The sequence below is a fragment of the Homo sapiens genome, chromosome 2 (genome assembly GCF_000001405.40).
Source record: "Homo sapiens chromosome 2, GRCh38.p14 Primary Assembly".
Lineage (NCBI taxonomy): Eukaryota > Metazoa > Chordata > Mammalia > Primates > Hominidae > Homo > Homo sapiens.
Genome location: NC_000002.12, coordinates 42,142,301 through 42,170,290, shown reverse-complemented (window position 1 = coordinate 42,170,290; position 27,990 = coordinate 42,142,301). Strand labels below are relative to the sequence as shown.

General features: G+C 42.4%; 1 protein-coding gene and 1 long non-coding RNA gene across 8 annotated transcripts in view, besides 4 other annotated features; one reads left to right on the top strand and one right to left on the bottom strand.

The window, feature by feature from the left end:
- EML4 (EMAP like 4) overlaps positions 1–938 on the bottom strand; it is a 163,196-nt gene extending 162,258 nt beyond the window's left edge. For all 7 annotated transcript variants that reach the window (XM_047443953.1, XM_006711992.3, NM_001410776.1 and 4 more), the window contains exon 1: positions 655–938. Coding sequence is in view for 5 of the 7 variants with exons in the window: in NM_001410776.1 (NP_001397705.1) it covers positions 655–679 (25 nt within the window). In the remaining 2 variants the exon portion in view is untranslated. The remainder of the gene's footprint in view (positions 1–654) is intronic.
- Positions 60–27,856, top strand: EML4-AS1 (EML4 antisense RNA 1). The gene is made up of 4 exons (NR_110584.1): positions 60–321; positions 20,259–20,356; positions 22,451–22,640; positions 26,947–27,856. It is a non-coding gene; the product is annotated as an EML4 antisense RNA 1 (long non-coding RNA).
- Positions 552–1,204: an enhancer, noted in NCBI's record as "NANOG-H3K27ac-H3K4me1 hESC enhancer chr2:42396227-42396879 (GRCh37/hg19 assembly coordinates)". NCBI's record gives its function as "activates a minimal SCP1, AML or CMV promoter by ChIP-STARR-seq in naive H9 embryonic stem cells {active_cell/tissue: H9 hESC(naive)}" and the evidence as "EXISTENCE:reporter gene assay evidence [ECO:0000049][PMID:30033119]".
- Positions 927–986: a silencer, noted in NCBI's record as "silent region_11402". NCBI's record gives its function as "represses an Ori minimal core promoter by ATAC-STARR-seq in GM12878 lymphoblastoid cells {active_cell/tissue: GM12878}" and the evidence as "EXISTENCE:reporter gene assay evidence [ECO:0000049][PMID:35858748]".
- Positions 1,087–1,136: a silencer, noted in NCBI's record as "silent region_11401". NCBI's record gives its function as "represses an Ori minimal core promoter by ATAC-STARR-seq in GM12878 lymphoblastoid cells {active_cell/tissue: GM12878}" and the evidence as "EXISTENCE:reporter gene assay evidence [ECO:0000049][PMID:35858748]".
- Positions 1,217–1,356: an enhancer, noted in NCBI's record as "active region_15644". NCBI's record gives its function as "activates an Ori minimal core promoter by ATAC-STARR-seq in GM12878 lymphoblastoid cells {active_cell/tissue: GM12878}" and the evidence as "EXISTENCE:reporter gene assay evidence [ECO:0000049][PMID:35858748]".
- Positions 27,857–27,990: the final 134 nt, after the last annotated feature.

Genomic DNA, 27,990 nt, shown 5'->3' with positions numbered 1-27,990 from the left:
GCATTAAGCAAATGATGCTCCGATGCTTCTAGGTCTCTCCACCACTGCAAAATGCTCAGAGAAGTGGAGGGATTGAAAAGGAAGTTGCCTACTACTCTGAAGGATACTGGAAAGTCGCCTTCAAATCTAAAGTGAAGACTTGGGGGCGGGGGATGCCCCCTTCCTGAAGAGGGAATGAGGGTCCCTCCCCTAAAAAGGAGCCTCTGTTCGGGTGAAGGCGATCCCCACCCTGAAAGAGAGGCGTGTATGTGGAAAGGTGGTGGAAGGTTGTACCCTGAAGAGGAGCCTGGATTTGAAGAAATGTCCCAACTCTGAAGGGGGGTAAGTGGAGGGAGCCGTGAGTGTACGGGGAGGGGTGTGCCAGCTATCGGGGGGCCTGAGAAGGAAGGGGTTCCCACTTTGGGGGAACGAGGGCCCCGCACTGAAAGGGGCTCCGGGAGGAAAGGAGGGTCTGACACAGAGGAGAGTTGGACATGGGGGAGGGGCCCTCAGTCCACCGGAGTCCGCGGAGGGGCGGCAGCCTCGAAGGGAACATGTGCAGTGGAGCCGCTGCCACCCCGAGGGGCAGGCGGGAGGGCAGGGCCTGGGCTGTGTGCGGAAGGAAAAAAGTTCCTACCCTTCGCAGAAGACGCAGGACTCCCCAGCCGTACTCACCGAGACTGCCGGCGAAACCGTCCATCTTGCGGGGAAAGCGCCGGGCTCCGGGCTTAGAGGGGCGGGCACTTCATTCAGCGGACCGACAGAGTGGCCGACGCTGAGCCTGACCCGCTCGTTCTCTAGGTCGCCCGGCTCGGCTACCGGCTCCCGCCTCCGTCGTCCGTCCGTTCGCCCTGGGGTAGTAAGCCGCGGCCGCCCGAACCACTTCCCCGTCACGTTGAGAGCCGCGCCGCTCAGCCGCCTGCCCGGCCTCCCTCCCAGGCAGCAGCCGCGAGCGCCGCGCCGCGCCGCGCCCCGCCCCGCCCCCGCGCCCGCGCGCAGCAGTAGCCCCGCCCCGCGCACGCCGTCACACTTCCGACTCCGCCTCCCACGTGACGCCACGGAGGCGGGGTCTTGCCAGCCCCGCCCTCTCACCTTGCCTCGGCCTCGGCGTTTGTCCGCCTCGCGCCAGGCTGGTGGTTGCGCCTGCGCGGTAGGCCTGCTGAAGGCTGGGGACCACGGTTTGGAAGCTGGTTCCAAACAGGTGGGGATAAGGCATAGACTCTGGCCTGCGATACTCTGATGCATGAAGGATCCTCTCCCTATGTGGCCCCTGGGAAGCCCGCAGAGCCAAGACTGGACCCCCGTGACGGGAGATGACCACCACGTGGGTCCTACAAGGACACTAAAGAAGCAACCAAGAGGGAGAGGTTCTCCCTCTCCCCCAATAGGGTGGGGGACAAATAGGGGCGAAGCTTCTTGACTAGCTCGATACCACCACTGCCACAGCCGCAGGGCCCGGGACAGATCAGAAGCAAGGAATTTTAGTGCTGGACATGACCCAAAAGTTCATCTTGTCTAACCCTTCTTATGAAGAAAAACACAGAGCCTTAGAGAGGACAACCTGCCCAAGGTCATCGAACCTAGTAGAAGCAAAAACTCAGCCTTCCTTACTCTCCCTAGCGTTCTGTCGTCTAGGGGTGCAAAACGACCATATATGGCAGGCTATAGGATGGCCTGCTAGGGAACCATAATAAGGGTTATTTCAAATGAAGTAACACTGAGTTCTAGGCCCAACTCCGTATGACTCAAGAGTGTCAAATCACCTAATTTATTTAGGCGTCACTTTATTCATTTGCAAATTGGTTGTCTGGACATGTAACCAAAACATGTAAATATACATAGCGTTCATATTCTTCCTCCCTTCCCCAACACGATTTCCCATACTTCTAAAGACTTTCTCATGGTTTGTCAAGTCCCTCCTGGGGCTCAGTTGTGCAGATTAGAGTAAGAGAGAGAAGAGCTGTAAGGTACTGAAGAACTGAATTGATCTATACATAATAAATTGATAAATACATAATAAAAAGCTGAGTTAGGGGAAAACAGAGTCCTACTACACAGAGTTGCAGGAGAGAGGGACAAACAAGAAGGGAGACAAGAAATATGTAATGATGAGAGAGACTTAGAGGAATTAAATGATTGAAAGGATTGTTAAACCTTCTTGGGGTATACGTCTCCCTTTGTTGCCTCTTTAAAAATCTTCCCTAAAAATGTAAATTACTTTGCATTTCTTATTTGGATATAAGACCTGTTTCTGAATACCATACTATATGGAGACTGGCCATAACGCAGCCAAGATAAATTCAGGTTACAGACTAAACGGTGTCTAAAATTTCCTTCTCTTCAAACTTAAATGATTTACCCAATGTTCCTTCTGCTATGGGCATTTTCATATGCATAAGTTTCTATTAAGCCTAAGTAAATGTTTGAGAAGTTCTCAATTCTGACAGCTGTTCCTTTGTGTCTTCAGGCCACACTCTCTGCCTTAGGTCGATTAAAAGAATAAGAACTTGGCATATTGGTATACATATGTTTTATGGTCCAGACCTGGAAGTGTGTACCTCCCTTTTGTCCACATTCCACTGGCCAGAACTTGGTCACATGACTGCAAGGGAGGCTAGGAATGTAGTCTGTGTATCCAGAAGGAAAAGAGACATATTTTGGTAACAGCTCTCTGGTTTCTGCCACACTCCCCTTCGTGGCATTCATCAGAGTTAAAATTTTTCATTTGCTTGAATGATTTATTCAATAAGCATCTCATTCATTATACTGTATACTACAAGGAAAGCTGTTAAAATGTAGGAGAGTTAGTACATCCCAGCAGTTAAGAGTGCAGACTCTGGAATCATGCTGCCCAGATTCACATCCCAACTCATCATGTACTAGCTATGAAACACTGGACAAATTACCTAACCTCTCTGTGCCTCCATTTTATTGACTGCAAAATGGAGATGATAACACTTCTACTTCTTAGAGTTTTTGAGAGGATGCTATGAGGTAATATATGTAAAGCACTTAAAACAGGGCACAATATGTTATAAGTGCTCAGTAGGTATTAGCTGCTCTTATTTTGTACCTGTTTTTGCTCTCTATTATATACTTAGTGCATATTACAGAACAGCTTTTTGATAAATATTTATTGAATAATGAACAAACATAGAAGAATTCTGAAAACTAGTCAATCTGAATACATTGTTTCAACAACCAGTGCCTGAGTGTTTTAAAGCAGCCAGAATTTTTGTTTTATATTTATCAAAGTACATCTTGCAATCTAAGCCTCTAATACTACTATGATAAAATAAAATTTAACATACATCTTTCAAAAGTGAAACCATAGCTGAACATTATCAAACACACACACAAATACTAAGGTTCTAAACAGTTACGAATTACTGGAGGGTTATTTTGGTTATTCACCTTAACAAAGGATTTATCTTTAGATTATTTTCAATGTGGAGTTCCATTGCCCCTTTGAGCTCCTTAAGTATAACTTAATTCAGGCAAATGCAAAATATGTGCCGTTTTTCAGGATCCCAGTTATTGGAAAAGGCTAAATATAGCTGTATCAAATAATGAAAACTTAGAACATTCCCTTTATGGTTTTGGTTTTTGAAACAGGGTCTCACTCTGTTGCCCAGGCTGGAGTGCAGTGGCACGATCTCAGCTCACGGCAACCTCCGCTTCCCCGGGTTCAAGCAATTAGCATGCCTCAGCCTCCCAAGTAGCTGGGATTACAGTTGTGCACCACCATGCCCAGCTAATTTTTGTATTTTTAGTAGAGACAGGGTTTGGCCATGTTGCCCAGGCTGGTCTCGAACTCCTCACCTCAAGTGATTCGCCTAGCCTTGGCCTCCTGAAGTGCTGGGATTACAGGCTTCAGCCACCATGCCTGGCCAGAACATTCTCTTTATACATCGAATCTTGACTCTGCATACTTACCTTCCCCTCTATGTCAAGGTTAGTATGTTGTGGGAGGAGTTTCAGAATACTTGTGAAGATACATTGTCAAAGTCTTGACCTAACGTTTGAAGAAAAATAAGATTCCTATTCAATTTCTTTGTTTTACTCTCACTAGCTAGATGATCTTGAAAAGTAACTATAAACTGTTTTTGTCTGCTTGCTTTTCTCTCCCGCAGACATTTTAAAATAAATGCCAAGGAAAATTAAGGGTTTTTTTTAAGTATGCTGTGTCTTCAGTTCCTTTTATTTCATTATTTGAATGTTATTTAAAAAATGAAACCCTATAGTCATGGAACTATATAGATTGTATAAACCTGTAGTCCATGTAAGCACAAATTTGATAGAAAAAAATCAGAGTTAATACCTGAGTGGGGGAAAAAAGGGATTCTTCATTTTTATAATATGTTTAATGTAAGCAGTGTGTAAAAGAATTCCAAAATCTATAAGAAGCTAAATGGCAATGTTATTCTAGCTTCTAACCATAAAGAATGCCTAGGGAGAACTTCAAAATTATTGCAAGAGAAATAAAAGGAGTTTGAGAGGAGATACCCCAAAGTGTCAAAAGTAGCTGCCTCTGAGAAATGAAATTAAGTGGAAGAAGGAAAGGGTAGAGGAGAGATATGGGGGATTTCACTTTTATTTTATTTTAATCATAGAAGTATTCATTTTTTGAAAACATTAAAATGCAAAAACAAAAAATATATTTCACTGCATATTTAGACACTCATAAACTGTGTCTGTAGAGACTGGTTTAAAATATCATACTTATTTAATAACTGTTTTACCAATCTTGGCATGATGGTTATCTCTCTCGTAAGACTTTCCAGACTTGCTGACTTCAGGAAAGAATCAAGCAATTAGTAGTGCTGTAAATTCTTGGTGAGAACTTATGAGACTGAAATCTATCCTGTGGGGATCACAAGCCATACCTCACTTGGAGGACCTGCTGCATAGATGCATGAGTGAGTGAACGAATGCCTATTGAGGTTAATTTTGGCATTTCTCATGGTGCCATCCATGACCTACAGAAAGAAGACAACTAGCCTTGCCTGCAGAGCTAAGTTTTCCCAATGCTAATTCAGAATTTATGCCATGAAATGAGATTTGAACTTGTTGAGATTGTGGAACAAACTTTAAAGTTTCTTTTTATGTGTTATAGCTTTACTACATTTACTGGATGTTGCGCAAGCCTTAGAGATAATAGCTAATAATTTTCATGTGTCCATCATAAATGTAAAATTTTTCTCCATGAAGAGTTCATAACAATCCCTTACAAAATTGATATTCTGCAGGGAAATACTTTTAAATAGAAATATTAGAGTGGAAAGCAGCCAATCAAGGAAATTCAATTCTCAAAATTAATAACACAGGAAGTTCTCTACTTGCAAATAAAATATTTCCAAAAGGTCATTTGTAAGTCAGCAGTTTGAAATTAGTAATAATGCCATAATTGGTGGTTAGATTGCCACTTAGCCCCAAAAACATGTAGCATGCTGATCCTAACCTGCCTGCGTTAAACCACACTGATGACAGCCTTACTTAAGGTTTTGAACCAGACAGGTCTGAAATTGAATATTGCCTATTATAAGCATCTGTGGGTTGATGTTGCAACCTAAATACAACATATAATACCGTTTCAACTTTCAAAGTTCTGACTTATGAAGGTCCTTAAGTGGTAGGTTTCATTATCCCCATTTTTCAGACAGGGAAAATGAGCCTCAAGAGTATAAAACTATAAAATGGGAAAATCAAGTTTTGAACCCATATCCATCTACATCTGAAAATCAAACTCTTCGCTGCACCAGTTTGCCTTTTGGGCTCAATGGGATTCTGTTGTGGAGATCCTTGAACACCAGACTGAGACGCCTATCAACAATGCAGTTTTAGCAGCAAAGTGATATGATCAAAGCATTGCTTTAGGAAGATTAAACCGGGTGGACACATTGGAAGAGGCACTGGAAGTGGGGAATCCAATTAGGAGACTTGCAGTGAAGCAGTAGCTGCAGAAAGCGCCAAGAAAAAAAAAATCTTGTGAAGGAAAACATGAATTAACAACAAACAAAACCCTCGCAGAGCTGGGTGGACTGATTGCCTCAGAAGCTAAGGAAGAGGAGGGAGTAAAACAGGTTATCCAGGTTCAGCTCCCAGTGATGGAGAGAATAATGGCAGCATTATATTAAAATGGGAACTTAAAGAAATGATGTGACTGGAGAAAAGAAAATACAGTGATGAATTAACCTTTGTGGGAAGCTGAAGGGAATCAGAGGTCATCTTTGACAGCTGGGGCCCAGGCACATGACCTAGGCCAAGTGAATGCCTCAACCCAGGTCTTTTAATGGCAGGGATGAGTTGGGGGGCAGTGATACAAAAACTAGCAGTCAGAGACCATGCTTGAAGATAGTTGAGAAATTGAAGAGCAACAGTGATGGTGTGCAGAGGTAGGAAGTAGGGCAGCCCACTCCAGGGCAGCGTCCTCACTAGAGTCCTAAAGAGTAAACTTGCCCATGCTCTCTGTGCCCTACACTGCCTGGGTTTCTGCCCATTTTCTGTGCCTGGCCCTCTGATCTTCCCATCGACTGAAGGAGCTACCTGATATCCTCCCAGCGAATTTGTTTTCTGCTTGAGTCAGCCAGAGTGGGTTTCTGTTGTTTGCAATAGAGAACTCTGAGTGGTACAAGTGCTGCGTTCAGTTTTAAACAGATTGTGCTTGGCGTCATAACCAGATGTCCAGATGGAAGCCTCCAGCACACAGTTTGAAATGTGGACTGTGGTTTAGGAGCGGGTTGGGTCTGGGAATATACACGCAGGAGACTTCTCAATAGAGCCGATGGTTTAAGCTATGAGAAATCTTAGAGGAAAAAGATTTAAGGGAAAAAATGGAAATGAGCAGAATGTAGAACTTGAGGGACCTCCAATATTTAGGAGGCAAGAGAAGGTGTCAGAGAAGAAACAATAACAGCAATAGAAGGCAAATCCTGCTAGTGCCCTATCACAGAACCAAAAGGAGCCAAAAGGTTGTTTTTTTTTTTTTTTTTTTTAATGATGGAAGTTGGAAGCTGTTAAATGCTACAGAGTCCAAGGAAGATGAGAAGTGAGGAACGGATACTAGATTTAGTGATTACGAGATCACTGGTCTTTAGAGAGTTGTTTATCTTGATGGTGGAGGAAAAAATCAAGTTGCAGGGGATTAAAGACTGAAAGGGGGGTCTGAAAGTGGAAAGAAAAAAATGCAGGCTACAGTTTAAAGGAATTTGGCAGGATTTTGTCTGTTTTGTTCACTGCTGAATTCCCAGCTCCTAGAAGAGCACCTGGCACATGGTAGGTGTTCAATAAATATTTGTTAAATGAATGAATAAAGAAGATCAGAAACAGAAAATTGAGCTGAAGTGTGATGAAGAGGAATATTTTATTTTATTTTATTTTATTTTATTTTATTTTATTTTATTTTATTTGAGACAGGGTCTCACTCTGTCACCCAGAATGGAGTACAGCATTATGATCTTGGCTCACTGCAGCCTCAACCTCCTGGGCTGAAGCGATCCTCATGCCTCAGCTTTCTGAGTTGCTGGGACTACAGGTGCACACCACCACACACGGCTAATTTTTGTGTGTGTGTGTGTGTGTGTGGTTTTGTTTTGTTTTGTTTTTGGTAGAGATGGGGTTTTGCCATGTTGCCCTGGCTGGTCTTGGACTCCTGGGCTCAAGCAATCCTCCTGCCTCAGCCTTCCAAAGGGATTGGATTACAGGCATGAGCCACCGTGCCCAGCCTAAAGAGGCAAATTTGTAGAATTGAGATTACCTCAGTATGCTTGCAAACAAGGGTTACCAAGTTCTCTCTCCCATCTCCATAGGCCAAAGAACCTGATTTCCTAGGCTTTTCTTGAGTTATCTATTGGATGCTCTTTCCTCACCCATATACTATCCTCATTACTCCATTATTCAGTTTGTCTGTATTGTAGGCTAATATAATACCAATTTCCTGGATAACAGTTTCTTATTCATCATGTCTTATTCTTCTTTGAAAAGTCTATTTTTTATACTACTTCATGTTCCACACAAAAATAAGTCAGATATTCCTCATCTATGTATATTTTATCCCAAACCACAGTTGAACCTCAGTGAGCTTTTAAGGATTTGATAAAACATTCTGATTAACCAGAAACAGGTGTATCATTAGATGACATCTCAATTGCACATTTTAAAAAAATCATTAGTTTGCGGTCCTTTACAACACAAACTTTATATCCAATAACCAAACGATCAAATGCAGTATCAAAACATTGTAAAGAAGCTATATAAAGACAAAAAGTTAAAATTGCCTCTGACTTAAGTAATAATAACAATAAAACCTAAGATTTTTTTTGTTTTACTTTAAACCCTTCTGTTTCCAAGTCTATGGACTTTTACTTAGAAGTCTATGAGTAAAAAAAACAAAAACAAAAACAAAAACCATGCATTTAAAAAATAAATTTTAACTAGAAATGTAAGAAGTCATAAGGGGTTTTCAAGTGCAATGAAATACTTGGACTACAACAATTAAGATTAAAGACATGGAAGTTTCCCAACCTGAGTTTATGGTCTTTGGTGGATGTAATTAAAGCACACAGAGCCTTTACAATGGGTGTAAGAAATTGTTTCTTTATTTTGCTTGCAGACTTTAGTAAGCAATCTTCTAGTGCCTGTCATAGGTTCATCAGAGCAATCAGCTGTGACTTTAGGGTTCTTTTGGTGTTACTGTATTAATTTGCATCTAGGCAGTCTGCAATTTTGGGGAGAAAAGAAATAGGAAAAAAAATAAAAAATGCATAATTGCTTTTGTGCATATTATTCCCTTTAGTTTCTTTTAGAATAATTATATGTGCCTATACATGCAAACAGAAGGCACATGTGTGCACATACATGAGTGTGTCTCCAGATACATGGTCAAAAAGCTTTTTGTATCATTCCTCACTCTCTTCTTAGGCTAAAACTTTGCTTGGCCCAAACTGAGTGTTTGATCAAGATGTGAATGGTCTGTAATAACAGAGCATGTCTAGTTGCATAAAGCCAATGATGCTCATCATCAAAGTCCTCCCAGTCAGAATAGGGACTTTTCCTTCTTGAGTACCTGGGAGACTTGCACTTAGCTGAATGACATTTTCAGATAAGGCTTCCCTTCCATTTAAACTGTGATGATTAAAGTTTCTAGAGGATCTGTTATAAAACTAAAATGAGTATAAGGTTACCTCAGAACTGAAACCTGAATTCAATTCCAAAATGTGACTTTGTTGTTGTTGTAGAGTTGGGGTCTCGATATGTTGCCAGGGCTGGTCTCAAACCCTGGCCTCAAGCAATCTTTCCACCTCAGCATCCCAGAGTTCTGGTATTACCGGTGTGAGCCACCATGCCCAGCCATGGTGGCATTTTTGCATCAGCCCATGAGGTGAGCCATGACCCAGGTCCAGAGAGTCCTTCATGTGAAATGGGCTGTCCTTACCCAAAAGTGAGAAAAGATTCCCGTGGAAGAGCCCAAGTTCCTCCCAGGGCCAAAATTGTGGGGGAAGCATCTTTCTGTTATTGCCAGCAGTTGCTGGTCTCAGTTATCCAGTATCCTGCATGCAACCAGGCTTATCAAGTTGGCCAGACCGCAGGTCAATAAATGTAGGCAAGGCCGGGCACAGTGGCTCACGCCTGTAATCCCAGCGCTTTGGGAGGCCAAGGTGGGTGGATCACCCGAGGTCAGGAGTTCGAGACCATCTTGGCTAACACAGTGAAACCCCGTCTCTACTAAAAATACAAAAAATTAGCCAGATGTGGTGGCACGTGCCTGTAGTCCCAGCTACTTGGGAGGCTGAGGCAGGAGAATGGCTTGAACTGGGGAGGTGGAGCTTGCAGTGAGCTGAGATCGTGCCACTGCACTCCAGCCTAGGCGACAGAGCGAGACTCCATCTCAAAAACAAAAAAAAGAAAAAAAATGTAGGCTTGAAAAAGGATGTGAGCAGGCATTTCATAAAAGAAGAAATACAAATCACTAATAAGTGTATATAAGAACATTTAAAAATCAGTACATCCACACAAAAATCTCCACATATTTATAGCAGCTTTGTTCATAATTGATAAAACTTGGAAGCAACCGAGATGTCCTCCAGTAGGTAAATGAGTAAATAAGCTGTGGTGTATCCAAACAATGAAATATGCAGTGCTAAAAAGAAATGTGCTATCAAGCCATGAAGAGACTCAGAGGAAACTTAAATGCATATTACTAAGGCTACGTATTGTATAATTCCACTATATGACACTCTGGAAAAGGCAAAGCTAAGAAGACAGTAAAAATGTCAGTGGTTGCCAGAGGTAAGTGGGGAGGGAGGAATGAATAGGCACAGAGGCTTTTTAGGTCAGTGAAAATACTCTTTATGATGATATAATGGTGGATACATGTCATTACATATTTATCCAAACCCATAGAATGCACAACACTAAGAGTGAACCCTTATGTAAACTATGGACTTTGGGTGATAATGATGTGTCAACGTAGGTTCATTGATTGTAACAAATGTACCCCTCTGTTGCAGGATGTTGATAATGGGAGTCTATGGATGTGTAGGGCAGAGGGCATATGAGATATCTCTGTACTTTCCTGTCAATATTGCTGTGAACCTAAAACTGCTCTAAAAAAGTCTAAATTTGGCCGGGCACTGTGGCTCATGCCTGTAATCCCAGCACTTTGGGAGGCTGAGGCCAGTGGATCACCCGAGATCAGAAGTTCAAGACCATCCTGGACAACATGGTGAAACCCGTCTCTACTAAAAATACAAATATTATGGCCAGGCGTGTTGGCTTACGCCTGTAATCCCAGCACTTTGGGAGGCTGAGGTGGGCAGATCACGTGAGGTCAGGAGTTTGAGACCAGCCTGGCCAAAACACCCTGTCTCTACTAAAAATACAAAAATTAGCCGGGCATCGCTGTGGGTGCCTATAGTCCCAGCTACTCAGGAGGCTTGAGGCAGGAGTATCGAACTTGGGAGGCGGAGGTTGCAGTGAGCCAAGATCGTGCCACTGCACTCCAGCCTGGGTGACAGAGCGAGACTCCATCTCAAAAAAACAAAGTCTAAATTAGCCAGGCATGGTGGCGCATGCCTGTAGTCCCTGTTACTCAGGTGATGAGGTGCTGAGGTGGGAGGATCACTTGAGCCTGGGAGGTTGAGGCTTCAGTGAGCCCTGATTGTGCCACTGAACTCCAGTCTGGGCAACAGAGTGAGACCCTGTCTCTAAATGAATAAAGTCTCAAAAAGAAAGAAAGCAGTAAAAACTAAAATGAGGAGATAACATCTGATGGAAATCAAATTTGAAAAGTTGGGCTTTTTCTAACTTATAATTTTAATTTTTGTGGCTACATAGTAGGTGTATATATTTACGGGGTACGTGAGATCTTTGATACAGGCATGCAATGCACAATAATCACATCATGTAAAATGGGGTATCCATCCTTAGTGTGTTATCCATCCTTAGTGTTACAAACAATCCAATTATTATCCTTTTTTTTTTTTTTTTTTTTGAGACCTGGCTCTGTCGCCCAGGCTGGAGGGCAGTGGCACGATCTTGGCTCACTGCGAACTCCATCTCCTGGGTTCACACCATTCTCCTGCCTCAGCCTCCCAAGTAGCTGGGATTATAGACGCCCGCCACCACGCCCGGCTAATTTTTTGTGTTTTTAGTAGAGACGGGGTTTCACCGTGTTAGCCAGGATGGTCTCAATCTCCTGACCTCGTGATCTGCCCGCCTCGGCCTCCCAAAGTGCTGGGATTACAGGCATGAATCTTTTAGTTATATAAAAATGTACAATTAAGTTATTAGTCACTATAGTCACCTTGTGGTATAACATACTAGGTCTTATTCATTCTGGTTTTTCTTCTTGTACTCATTAACCATCCCCACCTCACCCTTACCTCTCCCACTACCCTTCCCAATCTCTGGTAACCATCCTTCTACTCTCTATCTCCATGAGTTCAATTGTTTTTATTTTTAGATTCCACAAATAAGTGAGAACATGCAGTTTGTCTTTTTGTGCCTGGTAAGAGGTGTTTTTTAAAAAAATTCTTGGCCAGGCACGGTGGCTCACTCCTATAATCCTAGCGCTTTGGGAGGCCGAGGCGGGCAGATGACGAGGTCAGGAGATTGAGACCATCCTGGGTAACACGGTGAAACCCCGTCTGTACTAAAAATACCAATAATAATAATAATAATAATAATAATAATAATAATAATAATTAGCTGAGCGTGGTGACATGTGCCTGTAGTCCCAGCTACTCGGGAGGCTGAGGCAGCTGAATCGCTTGAACCCAGGAGGCGGAGGTGGTAGTGAACCGAGATCGTGCCACTGCGCTCCAGCCTCGGCGACAGAGCGAGACTTTGTCTCGAAACAAACAAACAAAGAAAAAATTCTTTAGTATAGATGAGAAGACAGTTAAACAGGTACTCTCATATACAGGTGTGTGAAATATTCTACATTTCTGGAGAGCAAGTTAGTACGTTTATCGAAAGCTCCAAAATGTGACTACCTTTAACTAAGCAATTTCACACTAAGGAATTAGCCCAAGGGAAATAATCAGAGCCATATTCAAAGATTTGTCTAACAGTAAGTCTTCTCACAATATTATTTTTAATGGTGCAATAACATAAACAACTTACAGGTACACTCAGATGGTCATGATTAAATAATTAATGCTACCTCCATAGGTTAGTATACTATGCAGCTGTAAAAATCATAGTGTAGGCCGGGCGTGGTGGCTCATGCCTGTAATCCCAGCTACTTAGGAGGCTGAGGCAGAAGAATCACTTAAACCTGGCAGGTGGAGGTTGCAGTGAGTCGAGATTGCACCACTGCACTCCAGCCTGGGTGACAGAGAGAGACTCCGTCTCAAAAAACAAAACAAAACAAAAAAAACCACATATTGTAAAAATGGTTAATGATGTGGGAAAATGTTCACATTTTGTTAAATGAAAAGAGGAGATTACAAAATAGTACTACTGTATGATCTCAGAATTACAAAAGAGATGACCATGTGTCTATAGATCTATGGATAAATGAATAAAAACATTTACTAAAATGTTAATGGTGGTTATCTCTGGGTTCTGGGATTGTGGATGACTTTTATTCCTTTTTCTATTTCTACACTGTACTGCATTACTTTGGTAGTCAGCAACAGTGTTGTTTATAACAAGTAAAAGAGCTCTAATGTACTTCTAGAGAATTACTTCCCATGAGTTAATGAAGTCAGAGAAAAACTGCTACGCCTAAAACATGCTCATTGAACAGCTTGCATAGATGCTTTCCCTGACCCATACTTTCCCCATGTGGGAATAGGGTCAGGAACAGGGTAGAGGTTTCAAAGTGGCCCGTGCTCTACGCATTCCTGCCCACCTGGGGTGCTGAGGGCTCTGAGCTGCTCATGGTTATCCCTGAACTGAGATATGCACTTAAGGGAGAGCCAGGACAGCTGGTGTGAGTATGAACATATCACTTGCAACATTCATCTCATGGCTGTGACATCCACTCGGCCTTGAAACCCTTCATGTTCTAGTGGACATCATTCCATGTCAGCCCAGTCCTATAAATGGTCTCCCTGCCCCCATCACATTTCCCCTTTGATATTTCCATGATGACATTTACTCTATATAAGGTAGAAACTATTAGTGAGAACACTAGTTCTGGGTTTCAATTCCATTGCATTTAACATAAGGTCATGGTCACTATAATATGTTATGTAAGCCTAGTAGGCATTTAGCTTGAGCCAGGATACCTACTTGTAGGGGTAAATTTGAGAGTTGGAGAGAAGGTTTTCCCTCGATCATGACACCAAAGAATGGATTATTTCACCTCGCCTCCAAAGTAGAAAAGGTAGAATTAAGAATTAGCTCATTGTGAGGAAAGCTAGAGAGCTCTCTTTATAAGAAATACTGATGGCCTGGCGTGGTGGTTCAAGCCTGTAATCCCAGCACTTTGGGAGGCCGAGGCGGGTGGATCACGAGGTCAGGAGATCGAGACCATCCTGGCTAACATGGTGAAACCCCGTCTCTACTAAAAGTACAAAAAAATTAGCCGGGCGTGGTGGCAGGCGCCTGTAGTCCTAGCTACTTGGGAGGCTGAGGCAGGAGAATGGCGTGAACCCGGGAAGCGGAGCTGGCAGTGAGCCGAGATCGCGCCACTGAACTCCAGCCTGGGTGACAGAGCGAGACTCCGTTTCAAAAAAAAAAAAAAAAAAAAAAAAAAGAGATACTGATGTTTCTCTGCTGCCAAAACTGCTAAAGAGAGACTATCGTGCAAGTAAATAAAAGCAGTTCTTCTGACATGAAAACTGAGGTATATTTTGTTAGTGGAACCTCTTGGTAACTAAGCAAATGCCTTCCTGTGTCCATCATATTCAGCCTTTCTCTCTCTCTCCCTCTCTCTTTGGATACAAGGTCTCTCCCGTGTCACCGAGGCTCAAGTGCAGTGGTGTGATCATGGCTCACTGCAGCCTCGAATTCCTGGGCTCAAGCGATCCTCCCACCTCAGCCTCTTGAGTAGCTGGAACTGCAGACAGGCACCAGCATGCCAGACTATGTTCATTTTCTTTAAATGAGCACACCTCATCCCCCAAAATCTGCAAGTAACCCCATGATATGATGAAATGTATGCCTATATAATTTCAGGGTGGGAGGCTGGGGGTGCTTATGGAGTCCTTCAAGGGTATGATCTTTCTTTCTTTTTTTTTTTTTATACGGGGTCTCACTCTGTCATCCAGGTTGGAGTGCAGTGGCACAATCTCGGCTTACTGCAACCTCTGCCTCCCAGGCTCAAGCGATCCTCCCACCTCAACCTCCAGAGCAGCAAGGACCACAGGTGCACACCACCACTCCTGGCTATTTTTTTTTTTTTTTTTGGTAGAGACGGGGTTTCACCATGTTGTTGCCCAGGCTGCTCTTGAACTCCTGAGCTTAGGTGATCCACTGGCCTCAGCCTCCCAAAGTGCTGGAATTACAGGCGTGCGCCTGGCCCTAGGTATGATCTTTCTAGCCAGCAATTTGTTAATCTACCAAAAGCCTTAAAATTGTTCATACCATTTGCCATAGAATATACACTTCTGAGAACTCAAAAAATGAGTTATTTAATATGCAAAGAATAGGTAAGAATATTCTCTGCAAGTATTATTTATAAAAGTGAAAAACTGCAAAAAATCTAAATGTCCCATAATTGACCTCAGCTAAATAAATTATAGCATAATCATACAATAGGTTATTGAGGCCATTATTCATTATATACTTGAACAATATTAAAGAATATTAAGAGCCGGGCGTGGTGGCTCATGCCTGTAATCCCAGCACTTTGGGAAGCCGAGGTAGGCGGATCACAAGGTCAAGAGATCGAGACCATCCTGGCCAACATGGTGAAACCCCGTCTCTACTAAAAATACAAAAATTAGCTGGGCATGGTGGTGCGTGCCTATAGTCCCAGCTACTCAGGAGGCTGAGGCAGGAGAATGGCGTGAACCCGGGAGGCGGAGGTTGCAGTGAGCTGAGATCGCGCCACTGCCCTCCAGCCTGGGCGACAGAGCCAGGCTCCGTCTCAAAAAAAAAAAAAAAATTAAGAAAGGCTCATGATATAAAGTTAAGTGAAAAACAAGGTGAAAAACTATCTACATATCCTATAAACCCAATGTCGATATATATTCTACACATATACACAAACACAAGATTCATGTATGGAGAGAGAGAGAGAGAGAGAGAGAGAGAGAGAGAGAGAGAGATCCTCCAGCTTTCCCAGCCTCACTGGATTTATGTACTTTCATATGCCGTAACTCTTCTCTTCATTCTCTACGGTCACAGCAGTCCAGTCCCCTCTCTGGGTATTTCTGAGACCCTCCAACACATGTCTGCATATTCCCCAACTCATCCTGTTACCTGATCCCTATGCACTCCACAGCATTGCCCCAGCCTCCTTCCCCAATCACTTCTCACATGTCTCAAAATGGCTTTTCCAGCTGACTGTCATTCTCTATCATCTGGCTACAATTTTAACAAACCTTACAAAGTCTCAAGGATTACATAGAGAATTACAGTGCAGGAAAAAACTTTAACACTGAACATTAGATATCATTTGCTCCTAAAGTTCCCTGTAAGCCTCTTTCCAGGGACTCTCCACCACAGGCCCACTCCTTTGTTTTCAGCCTGCCACAGTTGTGCAAAGGTTTGCCTCACCCTCCCAGAGGGCATCTCCTCCTATTGACTCAATAGGAGTTCTTGTTTCTGACCATCAGCAGAGGAAACTCGATAGTCTGGACAGCTATACCTGCTCCCAATAAAAATGGCTTTTTGCATTGTTAAACGGAAACCTCAGTGTCTTCATCTAAAACATTTGCATTTGGATTACTCCACTGGTTCAGGGACTTCCAAGCACAGTTGTTTGTTATTTCCTTTGGGTCCTCAAGAATTTAAAAAGAGTTGCCCCTGGCCTGGAGCAGTGGCTTATGGCTGTAATCCCGGCACTTTGGGAGGCCGAGGATGGTGGATCATTTGAGGACAAGAGTTCAAGACCAACTTGGCCAACATGGTGAAACCCTGTCTCTACTAAAAATATAAAAATTAGCCGGGCATGGTGACACATGCCTATATTCTCAGCTACTAGGAAGGCTGAGACAGGAGAATTACTTAAGCCCAGGAGGCGGAGGTTGCAGTGAGCCAAGATTGTACCACTGCACTCCAGCCTGGGTGACAGAGTGAGACTCTGTCTCAAAAATAAATAAATAATAGAATAGAATAGAATAGACCGGGCACGGTGGCTCACACCTGTAATCCCAGCACTTTGGGAGGCTGAGGTGGGCAGATCATGAGGTCAGGAGTTCGAGACCATCCTGACCAGCATGGTGAAACCCTGTCTCTACCAAAAATACAAAAATTAGCTGGGTGTGGTGGCACCCGCCTGTAATCCCAGCTACTCAGGAGGCTGAGGCAGGAGAATAGCTTGAACCTGGGAGGCAGAGGTTGCAGTGAGCCGAGATGGCACTACTGCACTCCAGCCTGGGCGAAAGAGCGAGACACTGTCAAAAAAAAAAAATAAATTAATAAAATAAAAAGAGTTTCCCCTAAAGACAAAGTAATCTTCCATCCTTAGAATATTCAAGAAAGGATGCAGAAACACTGGAATGCAGTTTCAGATACATAATAACAGCTAACAGTAAGTACTTACTATGAACCAGGCACTATACTAAGCACTGGACACGTATTAACTCACTTAATCTTCATGAGAACCCTCTGGTAAGTGCTATCATTAACCATATGGATGAAAAAATTAAGACAGACAGCAATTCAGTACTTTTCCCCAAAGCCACAGATCCAGAAAAATGGTAAAGGTAGGCTATATCCAGGTAATGTGGTTTGGCAGTGTCCGCACCCAAATCTCTTCTTGAAATGTAATTCCCATAATCCACATGTGTCAAGGGAGGGGCCCACTGGAAGGTGATTGGATCATGAGGGCAGTTTCCCCATGCTGTTCTCACAATAGTGAGTGAGTTCTCATGAGATCTGATGGTTTTATAAGGGGTTCTTCCCCCTTCACTCCTCACACTTCTCTCTCCTGCCTCCAAGTGAAGAAGGTCCTTGCTTCCCCTTCTCCTTTCACCATGATTGTAAGTTTTCTGAGGCCTCCCCAGCCATGTGGAACTATATGTTAATGAAACCTCTTTCCTTTATAATTTACCCAGTCTTGGGTATTTATTTATAGCAGTGTGGAAACAAACATACACCAGGTCATGTCATTCTAGGGATTTAGCCTCTCTTATCTACTACACTTTATTGCCTCGAAAGACGGGAGGAAGCAAAAAAATGGGAATTAAGGAGGAAAGGAAGTGCTAACAAATGGTGACAATTTTTTTTGTATTTTTCAAATTGCCTACAAGGAACTTTAGAATTAGGAACTAGAGCATGTGTGTGTGTGTGTGTGTGTGTGTGTGTGTGTGTGTGTGCGCGCGCGCGCGCGCACTAGGCATTGTACCTTCATCTCTCTAATTCATAATGACCCCTAATATTTAACCACTATAGTAGACATCTTTCCTCTAAGAAATGCTGTTGACTTACATGGATAGGCCCCTAGGAGACTGTATCTATGCCCTGTAACCTCATTCCTTGATGTCAGTTGACTGAACTAGGAAACCATCTGACACCGTTTGAGATAATATGATTTTCTCACTTGAGGATTTCAAATTAGAATTGAGATTAACCCAGTCAATCTGAGTTAGTCTCCTATACAGAGGATACATATGTATTGGTCAGAGAAGGTTAACTGCTATAACAAACGATCTCCAAATCTCAACGGCTTCAGTTTATTTCTCAACCATATCATGCTTTAATGTAGGCCAATGGAGGATGGAGATGAGGGAAATGCTATGCTCCATAAATTTTACTAAGTGCCCAGGTTCCTTCCATCTAGTGGCTTCACTATTTTCTAAGACCTTAGTCAAGGGAAGAGGGAGAGGCTGAAGAGGTGCACAGGAGATTTTTTAAATGGGTTAGACCTGAAATAGTATGCACCATGCCCCCATTCTACTGGCCACAGTTCATCACATGGCCCTACCTGACAGGAAGGGATGCTGGGAAACACAGTCCAGTTGTATGCCCAGAAAGAAGAGAAAATGGGTAGGTGACCATCTAGTCAGTCTCTATCACAACATGTAAATTTTGAATGGTGGGGTAGCCATCATCTGTCTACCATGTGCATGTAAAAGCTAAGATTTGTAGAGTGACAAGAATGAAACAGGTGTCCACAGGGACACAGAGAGGAGAGAGAGTGTGAGAAAGTCTTGTGTGGTTTCTTTCTGGCTTTCCACTTTGTGACATTCGTTTTTTGTTTGTTTTGTTATATATGTATATATAATTATAAAAATTATATATATAAAAATTTTTATAATAACAGCTTTATTGAAATATAATTCACATGACATAAAATTCAACTTTTCAAAGTGTACAGTTCCGTGGGTTTTAGTATAGAGTTATGCATCACCACGATCTAATTCTAGAACATTTTCATCCCTCCACAAGAAACTCTGAGCTCACTAGCAGTCACTGCCCACCATTCCCCATTCTACCCAGCCCCTGGCAATCATTAATCTACTTTCTGTCTATATGGATTTGTTTATTCTGGACATTTCATATAAATGGAATCAGTCATACAATATGTGGCCCTCTGTGTCTGGGTTCTTTCACTTAGCAGTAAGTTTTTCAAGGTTAACCCATTTTGTAGTATGTATCAGAACTTCATTTCTTTTTATAACCGAATAATATTCCATCATATGGACACACCACAGTTTGTTTATCTGGTTATCACTTTGTGGGAATTTGAGTTGTTTCTACCTTTTGCCTATCATGAGTAATGCTGCCAAGAACATTGGTGTACATTTTGTGTGCACATATGCTTTCATAGGAGTGGAATTGCTGGGTCATATGGTAATAACTTTATGATTAACAGTTTGAGGAACTGTCTGGAACTAATGTTTAAGAGTCCTGGCTGTCCTTGAGCTACTTCAGTATCCTCCACATGAATATATGAATTCCTTTTTTTCCTTCTTCTTTCATCGACTTGAATTGATTTTAGTAACATTATTTGCAACCTCATGAGCCTTAACAAAGTCACCCACTTGTATTACTTCTGGTTTAGACTTTCCCGATTCCTCAGTCTCCTTTATTTTGGCTCCATTTTTGCTTGCCTATTTGATAATGCTTTAGTTTGGCTTTATTTTGGCTGCAAGTATCAGATACTCATTCCAGTTAGCTCAAGTATAAGAACATTCAGAAAAATACATGATAAGATAATGGAAGCTTTTGGAAACCCAAGAACAAAAACCATAAAGGGCTAGCTTCAGAGAAACTAGTGCTAAAAGCTAGTTCTCAATTTGAGGTGGCTGTACACTTTACCAATTACAAATTTGTAAGTCTTCACTGTATTTCATCAGTATAGCTATAGTTCAGCCATACTCATTTCTGTCCTGCTATGAACTGGTAATTTCTCTACTTTCATGCCATTCTTCTGAGAGAGAAGCTCTGATGGGTCCAATGTATCTTTTCATATCTGATTACAGGTCATGGGAATCTAGCCAATCTATGGTTTGGTTGCTCTTAAATCAGGTGCCCACCCTGATCCAATCATTCATGAGTCCAGAGAGCTAGATCTCATGGTACAAAACATGGCTACTGAGTCTACTTCTTTAACAGGGGCCAGGAGGGCATGGTGATTGATTTTTTTTGTGTGTGATTGATTGATATTTTGTTTTGTTTTGTATTTTTGAGAGACGGAATTTCGCTCTGTCGCCCAGGCTAGAGTAGAGTGGAGTGATCTCGGCTTACTGCAACCTCTGCCTCCCGGGTTCAAGCGATTCTCCTGCCTCAGTGTCCCAAATAGCTGGGACTACAGGTATGTGCCACCACACCCAGGTAATTTTTGTATTTTTTAGTAGAGATGGAGTTTCACTATATGTTGTTTCAGGCCGGTCTCAAACTCCTGACCTCAGGTGATCCACCTGCCTCGGCCTCCCAAAGTGCTGGGATTACAGGCGTGAGCCATCATGCTTGGCCGATTGATTGATATTTTAATTAAAAAAAAATGGATCAACTCTTTTGCAATCAACGTCTGTCTTTGGTCTTTGGTTTTTTTTTGTCGGGGGGAGGGTGTGGGGGACAGTCTTACTCTGTTGCCGAGGTTGTGGTGCTATCTTGGCTCTCTGCAACCTCTGCCTCCCAGGTTCAAGTGATTCTCCTGCCTCAGCCTCCCGAGTAGCTGGGACTACAGGCAAGTGCCACTGCGTCTGGCTAATTTTTGTATTTTTTGTAGAGACGGTTTCACCATGTTGTCCAGACTGGTCTTGAACTCCTGACCTCAGGTGATCCGCCTGCCTCTGCCTCCCAAAGTGCTGGGATTACAGGTGTGAGCCACCGTGCCTGGCCTGTCTTTGGTCTTAATAATCTGCTGCTACATCGTTTCCTGTATTCAATATCCAGCTTTATGTGCTGTGATCAAGGGTAAGACTAGCCTATTGTTCCATCCCAAACCAGTCTACACCTTGCTCAACTATCTCTCTGTGAGAGGAGTTGGATTAAACATATGTTGTAAAGGCAGTTTGTCCCTTTGGATGATGTGAACAGTAAAAGTAGAAAGGAGTCCCTGAACAGGACCCATTCCCTGTTCCTATCAGAGCCTCTCCCCATGATTCCCTCTTGATACAGTTTTGGATATTTGTCCCCACCCAAATCTTATATTAAATTGTAATCCCCAATGCTGGAGGTAGTACCTGGTGGGAGGTGTTTGGATCATGAGGGTGGATCCCTCATAGCCTGATGCTGTCTTCCTGATAGTGAGTTCTTGTGAGATCTGGTTATGTAAAAGTGTGTGGCACCACCCTCCCACTCTCTCTCTTTCTCTCTTCCTCCTGCTTTTGCCATGTGAAGTGCCTGCTCTCGCTTTGTCTTCTGCCATGATTGAAAGCTCCCTGAGACTTTACCAGAAGCCCAGCAGATGCCAGCATGATGTTTCCTTTAAAGCCTGCAGAACCATGAGCTAATTAAACCTGTTTTCTTTATAAGTTACCCAGTCTCAGGTATTTCTTTATAGCAATGCAAGAATGGCCTGATACAACTCCCTGTCTCCTACCTTATTTCCTAAAATGCAAAGGAGTAGAACCACAGCAAAGATTCATAGAGTATAGCAAATTGTCCACAATTTCCAAGTCTACTTTCAACATGTCACAGCTGGAACAGGATAGGAAGCTCCTTGAGCCAAAAGTTAAGCTTTGGGATGAGTGAAAGACTGGCTTTCGGTACTTCTTTTCATAAGGACACAACCCAGAGATAGAAGTATATTTATAAAAGGAAAAATGCAGGTTTTAATATGTTAGAATGAGCAATAATATTTGAAATTAAAATGTAAACTCTTATCATTAATGTCAGAACTTTCCAGAATATTAAATTACATGTGTCTGTGAATGTATATTTTTCCATTAACAAAGCAAAAGAAAAAAAAATTAAACCCACCGAGTTTCATGAAGTTTTCCACTTGGAAAGATGTTCTGATTTGTATGAAGGGTAGGCCCATAGTCTGCCCTAATTTTATTTGTTGCTCCTCTGGTTTTTTTTTTTTAATGTGCTTCCCTGTGGCTAATGCCAAGTGTGCATTTGCCAGATCATCTGGACATACTCCAAAAGAAATAGCTCACCCATATCTTTAAAGAAAAAAGCATTTCATACATGTTTGAAAGCTAAAGTAGCTTGAGGGTAGGGGTGGGGGATAGAGGACAGAGAAGACAGAGTTTCATATTTTACTAGCAAATTTTGACCAGACTTTCTGAACCTTAGCATTTTAGGAATTTGAGTTGGCCAAGTCAGTTGTGAAAGACTCCCACATAGCAGGAATTGAAAAAAAAGGACAGATTATTTACATGAGTTTTCTACTACCTAATTGGATAGATACTGTTCCCTAACCAGGCACAACAAAAACATGTTTGTTTATTTTAAGGCTGTCTGCTGCCCTGCATTGTGAGTTTGCTCAGTGGGCCAGCGTGGCACAGAAGCACAGTTGAGAGACCAGACCCGGGGCCTCTGGAGGAACGTGCTGGTATCATCGCTGAAGAGCTTTCTCAATGCTGGCTGGCTGTTGTCAGGAGCAGTCCTTAGACAGGCTCGCTTCTGGTAGTTCAAAGAATCAGGTTGGTTTAGCAATCATGTTATCCCTTACATTACTTGTATATTCCTAAGTGTATTCCAAAGACGGTGAATTCCCATCCACAGTATAGGTGCAAACTGTGATGAGATGAGGCTTGGGGTTCTAATGAAGTGCAGGCCACAGATTTTAGAACACAGAAGAGAGGTTCTGAGTGTGGTGGTGAAGAGCATGGACTCAGGAGCCAGACTGCCTGGGTTGGAATCCCAGTCCCCAGCTTCCTGGCCATGCTATCCTGGGCAGGTTACTTAACTACCCAGTGCCTCAATTTCCCCATCTGTTATATAGGGATTAAATAGCCCCTACTTTAATAGAGTTAATATAAGTATTAAATGAGTAAGATGATTAGGAAATTGACATGTAGTAAGTGACATATATGTTTGTTAAATAAAGTGGAATATACTGATGACTGGTATTCACTCTAGAATTCTACATTCTCACATGAGAAAGAATACAAATGCTAGAAACAACCCAAATTGGGGCAAATCTAAATAAACTGCAATATGGTTGTACTATGAAACACTATGTAGCCACTTTTTTTTTTTTTTTTTAAATCTTGAGACAGGGTCTTACTGGGTCACTCAGGCTGGAGTGCGTGGCACCATCTTGGCTCACTGCAACTTCCACCTCCCAGGTTTAAGTGATTCTCCAGCCTCAGCCTCCCAAGTAGCTGGGATTACAGTGTGTGCCACCATGCCTGGCTAATTTGTTTGTTTGTTTGTTTGTTTATTTATTTTTTTTGAGAGACAAGGTTTCACCATGTTGCCTAGGCTGGTCTTGAACTCCTGAGCTCAAAGCAGTCCACCCACCTCAGCCTCCCAAAGTTCTGGGATTACAGGCATGAGCCACCCTGCTTGTCCTATAGCCGCTTTTAAATGAGGCATTTTTATATATGCTGTTGTGGGATAACCTGTAAGATATATTGTTAAAGAGACAGAGCAAGTCCCAGTACAGCACATGTAGGAGTAATTATAAGAACTAACATTTACTGAATATTTTTTGTGTCGGGCACTGTTTTAAGAGCTCTACGTATATTAACTCATTTAATCTCCATAATAAGTCAGGTACTTGTCATTTTTCATTGTGGAAATTAATGAGAAAACTGAGTCTCAGAGGTTAGGGTACTTGTCTCAGGTCACACAGTGGGTAGATAGATGAGCTGGGACTTGAATTCAGACAAAGTTGCGCCAGTGTCCATTTATTAATCACTATGCTAAGCTACTCTCCCAGTAGAATAATCTCAGTTGTGTACAAATAAAACTACATACGTAAAAAGAAAAATGCATGTTAAAAACAACAAGGTCTGAAGGCATAGACACTAACCATTAATCTATAAAGGGAAGAATGGGAATCAGTGGCGTCAGGTGGTGGCAGAAGCTTAAGGTGAGGGGGACTTTCATTTATTATTATATATATCTGAATATTGTTTGAATTATTGAGTATTATACAAATATGAATTTGTATATTGCTTTTAGAATTAAAAATAATTGTAAAATAAATGAATAACAAACACTTATGAAAAATTTACTTGATGTCAGGCAGTGTTCCTTAGTGTTTTACAAATATTAAATAACCTAATCTTCTTAAAAGTCTCCATTTTGCAGATGAGGAAACTAAGGTAGTCATTCCACAGTTGATAAGAGACAAAGGTGGGATTTGAACCCATATAGTCTGACTGCAGATTCTGTGTTCTTAATCATTATTACACACACACAGACACACACACACACACACACACACACACACACACACACACACGCATGTGGGAGCTGAGATCTGAGCCAATGGTCGTCACACATTTTCAAATTCTAGACCAGACTACTAACCACCCTGTGCCATGGGGAACACCCTTTAGTCTGGTGCTTAGAGGTATAAATTCTCAAATTGCACAAACATGGACTTGAATTCCATCTCTGCTAGTTACTAGCTGTGTGATCTTGGGCTAGTTATTTGACAGTTTTGATCTCTGTATCCTCAACTATAAAAAATTGAGATAATAGGCCAGGCGCAGTGGCTCACGCCTGTAATCCCAGCACTTTGGGAGGCTGAGGCGAGTGGATCACCAGGTCAGGGGATCGAGACCATCCTGGCTAACACGGTGAAACCCCGTCTCTACTAAAAATACAAAAAATTAGCTGGGCGTGGTGGCGGGCGCCTGTAGTCCCAGCTACTCGGGAGGCTGAGGCAGGAGAATGGCATGAACCCAGGAGGTGGAGCTTGCAGTGAGCCGAGATTGCACCACTGCACTCTAGCCTGGGGGCCAGAGCAAGACTCCGTCTCAAAAAAAAAAAAAAAAAAGAAAAAAAAAACACCTGAGATAATAATAGTCACTCTCATAACGCTGTTATGAGGATTTAAAAATATTAGTATACATAAAGTGCTTAGCACAGAACCTGGCATACAGTAAGAAATAAATCAATGTTAATTATTGCCATTATAATTATTAGTATATTATCTAGGCACCCCCTTTTCAACTTATATTAAGGTTGAGGGTAATCTTTTTCTCCCATCTTTATTTGGGACACTAAGACACATCTTTGGTCTAGCAATATCTGTAAGGAATCTACTTTTTATTTTTTATTTATTTATTTATTTTTAGTAGAGACAGGGTTTCACCATTTAGGCCAGGCTGGTCTTGAACTCCTGACCTTGTGATCTACCAGCCTCAGCCTCCCAAAGTGCTGGGATTACAGGCGTAAGCCACTGTGCCCGGTCAGGAATCTACTTTTTGATGTGATTGCAAAAAGTTTACCAAGATATACGTTTAAAGATATTCACTGAGGTGTTATTTGTTCTAGCAATGAACTGGAAACCACCTAAACATCCATCATTAGGAAACTGATTGGTTGGGTGTGGTGGCTCACTCCTGTAGTCTCAGCACTTTGGGAGGATGAGACAGGCAGATCACTTGAGCCCAGCAGTTCAAGACCAGCCTGGGCAAAAAAAATTAGCTGAGTAGGGTGACATGTGCCTGTAGTCCCAGCTACTTGGGAGGCTGAGGTGGGAGGATCATTTGAGCCTGGGAAGTCGAGGCTGCAGTGAGCCAAGACTGTGCCACTGCACTCCAGCCTGGGCGACAAAGCAAGACCTTGTCTCGAAAAAAAAAAAAAAAGGAAACTGATTAAATACATTTTGATACATACAAATAAGGAATAACATGTGAGGACTCTGAAAAGGCCCAATACATAGCAGCCTTCTTCCCTGTTCAGAATCTGAACAAACTGAGAAAACGACAGATGAAGGCAGAAATCTCTCTGATGAAGGCTAATTTGCATGCTGCACCATGTGTTATCTCATACTGAGAGACAAATAGGCTTCCTACTATGGAAACCCCGAATTGGATAGACATTCTCCAGTTCTGCCCACTTCTGGGGGAGTGGTAGGCAACTCCATCCTAAGAAGAAAAGGGCAGAATTGAACCTGAAAGGTTCAATTTATATAATCAGATAAATCACTCTGCACTCAAGGGGTGGTGGAAGTAAAGGGACAGAAAGGGGCCAGGAATGACGTTAGCTGAGTGCCTTTCACTTGGAAGGCACATTCTCTCCTAACAAAGATTGTGCAGACATTAAAAGTAGAGAGTATGGCTGGGCACTGTGGCTCACACCTATAGTCCCAGCACTTTGGGAAGCTGAGGTGGGTGGATCACGAGGTCAGGAGTTCAAGACCAGCCTGGCCAAGATGGTGAAACCCCGTCTCTACTAAAAATACAAAAATTAGCTGGGCGTGGTGACAGGCACCTGTAATCCCAGCTACTCAGGAGGCTGAGGCAGAGAACTGTTTGAACCCGAGAGATAGAGGTCGCAGAGCCAAGATCGCGCCACTGCGCTCTAGCCTGGGCGACAGAGACTGTCTCAAAAAAAAAAAAAAAAAAAAGAGAGAGTATATCTGCAGCTCGTGTTTGAAAGATCTCTGAGATGGTGTTTAAGGTGAAAATAATGAGATGCAGAATGATTAATACAGTAAGATCTCCCTCATGGAAAATTTTGTTAGAGGACATACATAACTATGTCATAATAAGGATGCACACAAAAAAAATAGTAACACTGGTTATATTTTAGGGGAAAAACTCAGGGCAGAAGAGGTATTTTTCCTTTTATACCTTTTTTTACTGTTTTAATTTTCTTCCCCTGTGTATGTATTACTTTTATTTTTAAAAATACTGTTAGGGGTTATCTGGACTGTGGGATTAATGACCATTATTACTTTCTTTTTCACAGTGCTCTGCAAAAGTAAGTTATAATAAATGTTATCTTAAAAAATAAAAACAAGGCAACTGTTTTTTTTTTAAGTGCCCTCTCTAGCCTTGGGAGTCCTAATGAGCTATAATCACAGAGACGCCAGACTAGTCAAAATTGGAAGAAAGAGCTATAATCACAGGAAAAGAACTCTCTCCACAATTTGAAGTATCCCAGAAAAAGCAGCAGCAATGAGGACAGACTTCAAGACAAGCAGAGAGGAGCAGCCATGGCGGGGCCTGCAGTGGCTACAGGGGGCCTCTATAGCGTGAAATGACATCAGAAAAGGACCTGAGTGGCCCAAGAAAGGGAGGACGGAAAGTCAAGGAGGAAAGTAAGCAGGAGTTGAATTTAGGAGTAAATGCTACGGTGATTATGACTCACAGCCTCATGGTCCTCAAGGCTGGAGTGGCGTTGGAGAAACCAGGTCATAGTTGTATAACCAAGGTACTCTGCAGGATGGACTATGGAGCTGCCTCCTGCAGCCACAGGTGATCAAAATGAGGTCTGTGTGACGGAGCCTGCAGCGAGGCAAGATGGCTGCCTCAAACAAGTCCATATTTCATCTCTCCTCCTAACCTCCTGCCTGCCAAAGCTCTGGCAGGGAACTCATTACAACAAAGCATGCATGCACCCTAATTACCTGTCATACTTCTCTGTTGCTGGACCAGACCCTATAAGAGAATTCCAAAGAATTTATTTTTATGGGAACAAAATGCAGTAATTGATGTTGCAATCCTGCCCAAATCACTGAACAGATCCTTTAACATCCAAATTCCCTAAAACAGCTTTGACTTACTACACACTTCACATGCCAGCTAGTGTTTGAAGTGCGTGTAGCCGCCCCCATGAAGCCCTTTCTTACTGTAAGTGCTCAAGAACAAAGATATTTCTTAAACTTCCTTTGATTCTCATAAAATAAAAATAGCCATTACATAATAAAGCACAAAGCTCCATGGGTTAAGAAGTCCCTGATGTTTTTCCTGCCTTCGGTCATTTTCTTTGTTTAAAGCATTTAGAAACAGTGAATGTTCATGAAGAAAAAAAAAAATCTCCAGCGGGAAAATGAGTGTGAGAGTTAGTCAGCAGCTAGACTCA